Raw genomic sequence first — 11,404 nt, 5'->3', positions numbered from 1 at the left:
CATAGGCCAGGCTGGAGGGGGACACTTTGTATAGCATTAGGGTTCGCGTGGCACGCCTGGTTTCCTAGATGAGGTTGTAGGAATCGGTTGGCACATTTGCGCAGTGGGAAACTGTTAAGCCCTTTTTGTTTGTAATCAGTTAAAATCAAACTGACTTTTAGAAAGACGGTGGATTATTTCATTTGGTTCCCCGTTTCGCCTTCTAATCAGTGAAAAAAGTTGGGCATTTACTTTGAAGGATCTGATAATCTAAAATGGTAGCCAGAATCATTACCAGTAGTAATGCAGACTATTAACATTAACTGGGGTGCACCTGTTTAGAGAGACAGACATTAAAGGGTGGTTTTGAATTATTTGTCTTTTTAGAGCTGGGTTAGTGTGAGGCTATTTTCAACCTTCCTTTTTTGGTAACCTTGAAATGCTTGTTGGCCTGGTTTTCTCACAGGTACTGTGCATTTACTAAGTGCTTGTTGATGGAATTGAATGGACTGATAATTATTTGTATATCCATTGGGAGCGCCTTCTTACTTTTTTTTTTTTTTCCTTGAGACAGTTTCGCTCTGTCGTACAGGCTGGAGTGCAGTGGAGCGATCTCGGTTCACTGCAACCTCCTCCTCCCGGATTCAAGCGATTCTCCTGCCTCAGCCTCCTGAGTAGCTGGGACTACAGGCGCCCGCCACCACGCCTGACTAATTTTTGTATTTTTGGTAGAGATCAGATTTCACTAAGTTGGCCAGGCTGGTCTTGAACTGACCTCAAGTGATCCGCCTGCCTCAGCCTCCCAGAGTTCTGGGATTACAGGCGTGAGTCACCGTGCCTTGCCCCCTTCTTACTTTTTTAATCCGTGCTGCTTTTAAAATTGGAGTAATAGTTTCTCCAGTTTAATTTTATTACTAATTTAGACACGTGTGTGACACAGCTTAAGTTCTTGGAAAATGTAGAAGGGCATATTGCAGTGGCATAATTCATTGGGTGGTGTAAATGTTAGTTTTTTTTATTAGAATGTCATTGTTTTAGGAGAGAAAATGGCTGAAATGAATCTGTTGACTTGTCAGTGTTTCCCCACCAATAAAATAACTGCTTTTATAATCAGTTATGAATAACCTCAATCCATCGCTGCATAGCTCCTCCATCATCGTATTCAAATTTTAAATTTGGGGACTATAATAGTGTAAATTACTGTTTTGTTTTTTTTTTTGAGACAGGGCATCACTGTCGCCCAGGCTGGAGTGCAGTGGTGCAATCTCGGCTGACTGCAACCTCTGCCTCCCAGGTTCTAACGATTCTTCTGACTTAGCCTCCCGAGTAGCTAGGACTACCGGTGCTTGCCACTGCGCCTGACTAATTTTTGTATTTTTTGTAAGACGGGGTTTTGCCATGTTGCCCAGGCTGGTCTCAAACTCCTGACCTCAGATGATCTGCCTGCTTCTGCCTCCCAAAGTGCTGGGATTACAGGTGTGAGCCACCTTGCCACCTTGCCCAGCCTTACGTTCAATTTTTTTTTTTGGGGGGGGGGGACGGAGTTTCATTCTTGTTGCCCAGGCTGAAGTGCAAATTTTAGTGTGTAAATTATACCTTAATAAATGTATTTTTTTAAAAACCCACTGGTGGACTTTGGAGAGCTTATACTCTGTTGGTAGAAACAGACATTAAACAAACACAAAATGAATATGTAATAAAACTTGTGGTAAGCCAGGCTCACGCCTGTAATCCCAGCACTTTGGGAGGCTAAGGCTGGAGGATCAGTTGAGCTTAGGAGTTTGAGGCCAGCCTGGGCAACATAGGGAGACTCTCTTTACAGAAAAAAAAAAAAAAAAAGCCAGGCATGGTGGCATGCTCCTGTTGTCCCAGCTGCTCAGGGAGCTGAGGTGGGAGGATTGCTTGAGCCCAGGAGTTTGAGGCTGCAGTGAGCTGTGATGATGCCATTGCATTCCAGCCTGGGGGACAGAGTGAGACCCTGTCTCAAAAAACAAAACAAGAAACCTGTGATGAATATTTTGGAGCCAAGGAACGCCACACCCTAGATAAATTAATAAATGAGACCATTAGTTTGAGTGGGTTGAAGAAAGCCTCTCCAAGGATGGGACTTGAACTGATGATAGGAAGGAGGAAGCGTGGGAGAGTGTTCCAGGTCAGTGAACTAGCAAGTATAAAAGACCTAGGCTGAGGAAAATGTGGTAAGCTGACAAGATAATTTGATGACATTTACTAGATTTCTACTAGAGAAGGAAATATTGCAAGTCTTTTATTTCAAGTTATTACCTAGCTTCTAGTGTATATTTTCTTTTCCTTGTATATATAATGTATAAAGATTCTTATCTCTTGCTTTAATTTTAAGAGCGATGTCTGTCAAGTTTCTATTATTGCCCTTTTCAGGAACAGAATAGAAAAAGTTCAGTTTTGTTTACCTATTCTTGAAAATATTTCTCTACTTTTTGCTTTTGTGTGTCAAGCTGCTGCTCTTTACAATTGAAAAGTAAAAGTAAAAATAAAACTGAAAACTGCTTGTTGATTGACATAGTAGGTGCTGAATATCATTTTGCATTGGGGTGAGCAGGGAGGTGGAGGAGGTTCTCTATGGTCCTAATTTGGAGCAAACACTGGTCACGTTGGATTTAGTGTTTGGAAAGGTGTAAAGGAGCTGAAATTTAGAATTAGGTAAGATGGGAGTTTTTTTCAATAGCAAAAGCAGACTGCATTATGATTGGTTGTAGAATCACTTTGAAACTATTACTGTTGTAAAATATTCTCTTTTTCTATTGAGAGGAAATATTCTAGTAGTATTTCCATAATGATCTTTGGCCAGCAACTGCAAAACATTTCCAGCAACTACAAAGTATTTAAGTGCTTTATGAATTACTCTTGGTGTGGCTTCATGTATTTCAGTGACATTTTAAACAAAATTTTCACTGAGAATTGTAGTTGTTGCCTAGAAGGGGCATCTACTTGTAAGATAGTAGACTTAGAGTTCTAGTTGCTAATTCAGTAACTTTGAACCAGTTTCTTCAGCTCTCTGAGCTTGCTTCCTCTTCTGAGAAAAGGAAGGGTAATCCATTCTCCTTATTTCACCGGATGGTTGGAGGATTCAGTTGGAGAGTGAACTGGAAAGTACACTGGAAATGGTAGCATCAGTTTCAGTATTGGGGTTCTGCTATTTAGTGTTCAACTGGGGAAACAAAAATGAAGTCATTTTTTTTTTCTTTTTTTTGAGACGAAGTCTCGTTCTTGTCCCCCTGGCTGGAGTGCAATGGCGGCGATCTCGGCTCACTGCAACCTCCGTCTCCTGGCTTCGAGCGATTCTCCTGCCTCATCCTCCCAAGTAGCTGGGACCACAGGCATGTGCCACCATGCCTGGCTAATTTTTGTATTTCTTGTAGCGATGGGGTTTCACCATGTTGGCCACGCTGGTCTCAAACTCCTGACCTCAGGTGATCCGCCTGCCTTGGCCTCCCAAAGTGCTGGCATTTATAGGCGTGAGCCACTGCACCTGGCCTAATTTTGTATTTTTAGTAGAAATGGGGTTTCATCATGTTGGCCAGGCTGGTCTTGAATTCCTGACCTCTGGTGATCTGCCCACCTCAGCATCCCAAAGTGTTGGGATTATAGGCAGGAGCCACTGCACTTGGCCATTTTTTGCGTATTTTATGGTCAAAGTTCACAATCTAGTGGGGAAGATATACAAAAAAAGTTTAACCACTGCTTTTTTGTTCATGTACCAGCTTCCCTTTTTTTTTCAGTTTTTATACAAGTCTGTGCAAAAAGAGAAATGTTTTAATCTCAGGGGACCTATCTGGCTAGACCAAGTTGTAGAATTACGCATAATACCCCTTACCTGAAAAAATGAAGTGTATTGTAGTTTCGTATTAACGAGCTATGAAAAATGATAAACTAGTCTTCTTACTCTTATCAGTCTAGTAGGCCTTGCCTGTGCATGTTTTCAGTGGAGAAAAGGTATATTAATATTTCCCACGTTGTTGCAAGAAATAGCTTCTACTCTTTTTTTTGGTTTTATTTTTTAAAGCAGTGAAATTCCCAATCTTTTAAGCAATAGAGCCCTCTTTAATTTAAAAACTTTCTAGTCCTGAATTCTGTATTAGTTATACTTTGTATCTGATAAATTACTTAATGGCCAAGCCAGTATGAACTTAATAACAGATTAAGTGATTTGGTGTTTTCCTGATTGTGTTAGTCCATTCTCACACTGCTATAAAGAACTGCCAGAATAAAGAAAAGAGGTTTAATTGTTTCACAGTTCTACATGGCTGGGGAGGCTCCAGGAAACTTACAATCATAGTGGAAGGGGACGCAGGCATGTCTTACATGGCAGCAGGCAAGAGAGCCTTTGTAGGAAGTGAAGGGGGAAGAGCCCCTTATAAAACCATCAGCTCTCATGAGAACTCACTGTCACGAGAACAGCATGGGAGAAACTGCCTCCATGATCCAATCACCTCCTTCTCTCCACACGTGAGGATTACAATTCTAGATGAGATTTAGGTGGGGACACAGAGCCAAACCGTATCACTGATCAAAGTAGCGTCTATGAACATTTGATAGGTAAGTTTATGCACTATTGAGACATTCGTTCAGCTTTTCTGTTAAGTATGTCAGACAAATTATGCTTTGGTCAGTTTCTCAGGCCAGGAGGGAACCACTAAGTTAGCATATTTGCCACTTTTGTTGTACCATACTTGTTCAGTTAGAATGAAAGAGGTGCCTTTTGCTTCAGTGAATTATTTGGAGCCCCAGCTAGTAAGAAGCTGAATGTCTAGAGCAGGCATAAGTTTATTTTCTTTTAGTTTTGGTTTAATGATGTAAAGTCAAATTAGCAATAGTCTACAAACTTATAAATCTCTATCATCTTTATTGAGACCCAGCTTCCTGCTGGCTTTTCTGACTTTGTATACCAGTGATAATAGGGATGTATTTATGTAGTTTTTTGGCTTTAACAAGTAGTGAGATAGCTCTTTTAAACCTTTCTATGTGAATTGTATCCTATTTTGTCAAAGCATTTGGGCAAATGTGAGTTTTATTGTTTCTTCCTATTCTATTTGAAGGTAGAACTTTTTTACTTCAATGTGGCACTTTTTCTTGGCACATCTTTTTGAGTCATTCTGTTGCCCAGGCCCAGTGCAGTGGTGCAGTCACAGCTCGCTACAGCCTCAAACTCCTGGGCTCTAGAAATTCTTCCATCTCAGCCTCCTGAGTAGCTGGGACTACAGGTGTGTGCCACCACACTTCGCTAATTTATTTATTTATTTATTTATTTATTTATTTATTTATTTATTTATTTGAGATGGAGTCTTTCTTTGTTGCCCAGGCTGGAGTGCAATGGCGCGATCTCGGCTCACTGTAACCTCCGCCTCCCGGGTTCAAGCGATTCTCCTGTCTCAGCCTCCTGAGTAGCTGTGATTAAAGGCGTGTGCCACCATGCTCAGCTAATTTTTTACTTTTAGTAGAGATAGGGTTTTACCATGTTGGCCAGGCTGGTCTTGAACTCCTGATCTTGGGTGATCCACCCGTCTCGACCTCCCAAAGTGCTGGGATTACAGGTGTGAGCCACAGTGCCTGACCAATTTTTTTTTTTTTTTTTTTTTTTTTTTGAGACACGGTCCCTCTCTGGTGCCCACGCTGGAGTTCAGTGGCATGATCACAGCTCACTGGAAGCCTCTACCTCCCTGGGCTCCAGTGATCCTTCCACCTCAGCCTCCCGAGTAGCTGGGACTGCAGGCGCATGACATCATGCCCAGCTAATTTTTGTACTTTTTTGTAGAAACGGGGTTTTGCCATGTTGCCCAGGCTGGTCTCGAACTCTGGAGCTCGAGTGATCTGCCCACCTCGGCCTCCCAAAGAGCTGGGATTACGGGTGTGAACCATCATGCCTGGCCTCTTTTTTCATTTTCTTCAGCTTTGTTGAAGTATGGTTTATATACAACAGCATGTCCAGCTCAATACGTTTTAATAAATATATTCATATGTAACTATCACTGCCACAGTTATGACATAGAACATTTTCATCACCTCAAAAAGTTCTGTGTTTCAGTTTTCTCATCAGTAAAATGGATATAATGAAAGTATTTGCCTCCTTTAGGGTTGTTGTAAGGATTAAATGAGTTGATATAGTTAAAGTCTTTGAAATAGTGCCTGGCATATTGTAAGAGCTCAGCAAATGCTGTCTGCTATTATTATCTATAGTATTGATATTGGTGCTCTACCCCTTTTTAAAAGCCCCTTACTACTAATTTTAGTAGATAGTTAAAGTGTAAAGATTCTGTGCTATTAAGAAAGGTACGTTTCATTTGTCAAAAATCAGTTGATTGTAGATGCTGTTTTGGTTAATATAGCTCTGTAGTATATTTGTAAGTTGGCTAGTGTGATGCCTCCAGCTCTGTTCATTTTCTTCAGGATTGTTTGTGTTAATCAGGGTTTTTATGCTTTTGTACAAAATTTACGGTTGCTTTTTCAGTTTCTTTGAAGAATGTCATTGTAATTTTGATGGGGAGTGCATTGAATCTGTAGACCACTTTGGATTGTATGGATATTTCAACAATATTAAATTTTTCAGCCCATGGGGGGAAAAAGGGGTGTGTGTGCTGCTACTATGTATGTGTATTTTTGTATATGTAAATGAAATTGAATGGAATGCAAAAGTACCTTGAGTCCCTGTAGAACTTAGGTTGATAGCTGGTGTATGAAGATGCACTTTCTTGAATGTCACCCAACTTTATTGATAATTGGTGTTTAATTGCATTGTTTCTGAGCCGGGAGTAGTGACTCATGCCTGTAATCCCAGTGATTTAGGAGGCTGAGGTGGGAGGTTTGCTTGAGCCCAGGAGTTTGAGGCTGCATGATTGGGCCACTGTACTCCAGCCTGGGCAACAGGGTGAGACCTCAACTCAAAAAAAAAAAAAAAAAAAATACATATATATATATATATATATATGGCTTTGTTTGTAATCACTGTTATCTCATGGTGAGGTATATGATGTAAAATTCAATGTAATTTCCTATTCCTTGTCAATAACACCATGCTAGGCAACTGTCACTTGTATTTAAAATAATTTTGCTGTTTGGGGCTGGGAGTGGTGGCTCATGCCTGTAATGCCGAGGTGTGCAGATCACCTGAGGTCAGGAGTTCGATACCAGCCTGGCCAACGTGGTGAAACTCCATCTCTACCAAAAAATACAAAAAAATTAGCCGTGCATGGTGGCACGTGCCTATGATCTCTACTACTCAGGAGGCTGAGGCACGAGAATCGCTTGAGCCCAGGAGACAGAGGTTGCAGTGAGCTGAGATCATGCCACTGCACTCTAGCCTGGGTGACAGAGTAAGACTCTGTCTCAAAAAAAAAACAAACAAAAAAAACAAACTCAAAAAACTCTCTCTCTCTCTCTTTCTCTCTCTCTCTCTCTCTCTCTGTGTGTGTGTGTGTGTGTATAAATTTTGCTGTTTAGATTTATAACAGTATGCTTTTGGAAATACTTGGTTATTTTGAAAGTCCACACATTGTATTCTCTTGTGTCAATCCTTTTATTGAACTGCTTTCTCGACATTTTATTGATTCTATCTGCTAGGACATTTTATTAGATCTTTTTGGTATATTTTTGTACGGTGCCTGCTGCTGTTTTCCTTTTTTTTCTTTTTTTTTTTTAGAATGTAATATTGTAGTTTAGGTGTTGCATTCATTTTCTAGGACTTTCATGACAAATTGCTACAAACTAGGTGGCTCTAAAATAGTAGGAAGTTTTTTCTCACAGTTGAGGAGGGTAGAAGCCCAAAAGGAAGTGTCCACAGGGCAGATTCTAGGGGAGAATCTTTCTTTGCCTCTTCCAGCTTCTGGTAGTTCCTGGCATTTCTTGGCTTCTGGCAGCATAACTCCAGTTTCTCCCTGTCTTCACATGCTCTTCTTTCTCTCTGTGTGTCTCTGTGTATCTTGTCCTCTTCTTATAAGGGCATGAGTCATTGGATTTAGGGCCTGCCCTAAATCTAGGATGATTTCCTCTTGAGATCCTTAACTAATTACACCTGCAAAGACCTTATTTCCAGATAAAGTCACATTATGAGGTTCTTGGTGGACATGAGGTTTGGGGGGGACACTATTCAACCCACCACAGATGTGAAGGGAATATTTATGTGATTTAAGCTCTGAAAAGGGGTAGGAAACAGGACTAAATAATGTCAACTACTTTGCAGTTTGCAGAAATGTTACCTTGGGCCACTCTCCAGTCTGAGAGTTCTCAGCAATGTGCTCTAGATACAAGTCCCAAGTGAAAGATTGGCTCCTGGGGTTTGGACCATAGGCCTGCCCTCTGGAAGTACCTGTTCGCAAGCTAGAAGTAAGTGATGACCTAAAATGTATATAAGACTTTGAGGCCGGGCATGGTGGATCATGCCTGTAATCCCAGGACCTTGGGAGGCTGAAGTGGGTGGATTGCCTGAGCCCAGGAGTTCAAGACCAGCCTGGGCAATGTGGTGAAACCTCATTTTTACAAAAATTAGCCGGGTGTGGTGGCCCACGCCTGTAGTCCTAGCTACTCAAGAGGCTGAGGTAGGAGGATCACGTAGGTCTGGGGAGGTTGAGGCTGCAGTGAGCTGTGATCGCATATGCCACTGTACTCCAGCCTGTCTCAAAAAAAGAAAAAGACTATGGCCAGTTTGAGCGCCAGAATGTGACATTCTATCATACTATAAATTGTGATAATTTACATGAAAAAATAGTATAGTGATTAAGAGCTCAAGGACTTTGAGAATCACATTCTCTGGTTTCATATTCTGCCTCTGACCCTTATTATCTGGGTGGACTGTGGGTAAATTGGTGAGCCTTGCAATGTCTAATTAAGGGTTAAAGAATACCTTAATACATGTAAAGTGCATGGAACTGCCTGGCATATCATAACTGCTCATTTAATGTTTGTTGCTGCTATATCCGTCAACATCCTCAGGAGAAAGAGAAACTTGTCGTCAGAAAGGTTGATGCCTCCGATTGTTTTCCTAGTATCAAGGGTAAATTTTTACTGATGAATTCATAGATTCCTACCCAGCCTCACCTTAGAAAAATATGCTTTCAGGTTGTCTAGTTAGAGGTTGCAGGTAGTAGAGGTCATGAGATGAGATAATAGGCTCCTGACTGGGAGCAGTGGCTCACACCTGTAATCCCAGCAAGGTGGGAGGGATTGCTTGAGGCCAGGAGTCTGAGACCAACCTGGGCAACATGAGACTTCCTCTCTACTAAAAATACAGCTGGGTATGGTGGTGTGTACATGTAGGCCCAGCAATTTGGGAGGCTGAGGCAGGGGATTGCTTGGGTCCAGGAGTTTGAGGCTGCAGTGAGCCATAATTGCACCACTGCACTCCAGCCTGGGTGACAGAGTGAGACCCTGTCTCGAAAAAAAAAAAAAAGAAAATAGCTTCTTGATTTCATTAACAAGGCATTCTAAACACTGAGTAGCCATTTTAGTGATGTATAAAACTTGCTCCCTGACAGACTTTTGTAGTGAGTTTTCATTTATAGTACATCAAGCAAATCCCCCTTTATGTCATGAGGATATCAGCTTGACTTTTAGTGTAAGTCTGTTAAATAACTTATCTCTGAAGTTAACTTCGAAATTGTTTTCAAATGGATAGATAGGTAGATTAACTACATGTCTTAGCAGGCATTTCAGGATGTTTTGCAACTAATAATCAACTAAAAGATTTGTTATGGGAATGTGGTTTTCCTTCCCTTCAGTTTTTAATGTTTCTCCTGGAGGTGTATGTTACTAATAACACTTCTTTGAAAACCACACTGATTAATATTACTCTTCTGCTTACCTGAAGCTTCTTGGGCAGAGTCCTGCAGTGTAGTTTACTGAGCTTATTAAAAGATTTGTTAATAGATGACTAGAATTCACAGAGGATAATGATACCATTAGAATTCACAAAGGATGATGAGACCAAATATTAAACACTTTGCCAAACAAGTTCTTCTCTCTCTCTCTAGTCTAATTGCTGGTCTTTTAGCATTATGCAAAGAAGAGAGAGGAGACTGGTTCTCTATCTACTGCATACCTATGTTATCTCAGTTAAACTAAACTTAACAGCTGTACAGGTATTATTCTTTTTTTTTTTTTTTTTTTTTTGAGACAGGATCTCACTTTGTTGCCCGGGCTGGAGTGCAGTGGTGCAAACACAACCCATTGCAGCCTCCACCTCCTGGCAGAAGTGATCCTCCTGCCTCAGCCTTCCAAGTAGCTGGGACTACAGGCACTACTATACCTGGCTAATTTCTAAATTTTTTTGTAGAGATGGGGTCTCACTATATTGCCCAGGCTGGTCTCAAACTCCTGGGCTCAAGTGATCCTCCCACCTTGGCCTCTCATAGTGCTGGGATTATAGCCATGAGCCAATGCACCTGGCCTGTACAGGTAGTTTCTTGTTTTATATAAAGAAACCTAGGCTCAGAGACATGGAAGTTGTTCACCATCATGTGTCTACAAAATGACGGAGTTATTAATTGAATCTAAATCTTTCTGGGACTGTTCTTTTTGCTCTTTTCCAACATATGCTATCGCTTCTCTAAATTAGGGAGCTCAGGCAACCACTATGTTGTATACAAAAAAAAGAAGAAAGTACTTAAGTATAGTAGCAAGCTTAAATCATATCTTTGATTCTTTGATCTTTTGAAAATACTTCCATGTTTAGTTCTGAGTATGTGAGGAAATGAGGAAGGAATGGGATGGGGTAGGGTGTCCACACATAATTGAGGAAAATGGATTATTTGAATGGTGTAGTCCTTGAAGATGTGTCCTGTCACATATCCTCCTTTGCAATTCGTTTATTTATTTATCTTCAGCAGGAAGATTCTTCTCCAATTTTCCATCATCATCTGAAACCGTTGCAAGGTTTTGCCTTTAGGTTACAGATAGATTTTTCAGACAGAAGAATACCTTTCAATATAGGTAACCTCTTAAGAGGACTGTACTGCTGCTTCTATTAATAGTCTCTTCTGACAGTTAAAGATGTGGGAAATTGAAATAATTGTTTTTGTCTTGTAGATTAACTGCTGAAGTACTGATCGAGTTCTGCATTTCTTCAATGAGGAACTACAGGCTGATCTTCTGCCATAATCTCAAACAGCCATAAATGACAAAAGAATGCTTGCTCAGTGAGGGTAGCTGGTGCAGAAGCCATTTTTTAAACTTAGGTATTTAAGTACTGAAAGGTAAGTTTTCAAAATGGTAACTATCTCGTGCTCTATAAATCCATAGAGATTTTGGAACTTGCCCCTGTAGCTGCTATTTGATTTAACTTGAGGTTTTATAGTTCTTAGCTGGCACCAGATACATTGAAGAATGGATGTTGCTTGTCTGAGACTATGTAAATGTATGGCATTTTGCTATCCTTAAGTTAATTTTTTCTTTTAAGTTG

The 11,404-nt window shown here is 40.7% G+C and overlaps 1 protein-coding gene across 46 annotated transcripts in view, besides 3 other annotated features; it reads left to right on the top strand.

Annotated features, from left to right (window-relative positions):
• The window catches only part of FAM13B (family with sequence similarity 13 member B), a 114,219-nt gene that overhangs the window by 19,950 nt on the left and 82,865 nt on the right, over positions 1 to 11,404 (top strand). For all 46 annotated transcript variants that reach the window (NR_169824.1, NR_169815.1, NR_169814.1 and 43 more), the window contains one exon: positions 11,032 to 11,198. The gene's annotated coding sequence lies outside the window, so the exon portion shown is untranslated. The remainder of the gene's footprint in view (positions 1 to 11,031; positions 11,199 to 11,404) is intronic.
• Positions 62 to 121: an enhancer, noted in NCBI's record as "active region_23191". NCBI's record gives its function as "activates an Ori minimal core promoter by ATAC-STARR-seq in GM12878 lymphoblastoid cells {active_cell/tissue: GM12878}" and the evidence as "EXISTENCE:reporter gene assay evidence [ECO:0000049][PMID:35858748]".
• Positions 1,336 to 1,837: an enhancer, noted in NCBI's record as "H3K4me1 hESC enhancer chr5:137366081-137366582 (GRCh37/hg19 assembly coordinates)". NCBI's record gives its function as "activates a minimal SCP1, AML or CMV promoter by ChIP-STARR-seq in naive H9 embryonic stem cells {active_cell/tissue: H9 hESC(naive)}" and the evidence as "EXISTENCE:reporter gene assay evidence [ECO:0000049][PMID:30033119]".
• Positions 3,159 to 3,288: an enhancer, noted in NCBI's record as "active region_23190". NCBI's record gives its function as "activates an Ori minimal core promoter by ATAC-STARR-seq in GM12878 lymphoblastoid cells {active_cell/tissue: GM12878}" and the evidence as "EXISTENCE:reporter gene assay evidence [ECO:0000049][PMID:35858748]".

The sequence above is a fragment of the Homo sapiens genome, chromosome 5 (assembly GCF_000001405.40).
Source record: "Homo sapiens chromosome 5, GRCh38.p14 Primary Assembly".
Lineage (NCBI taxonomy): Eukaryota > Metazoa > Chordata > Mammalia > Primates > Hominidae > Homo > Homo sapiens.
This window is presented reverse-complemented; position numbering and strand designations above follow the sequence as displayed.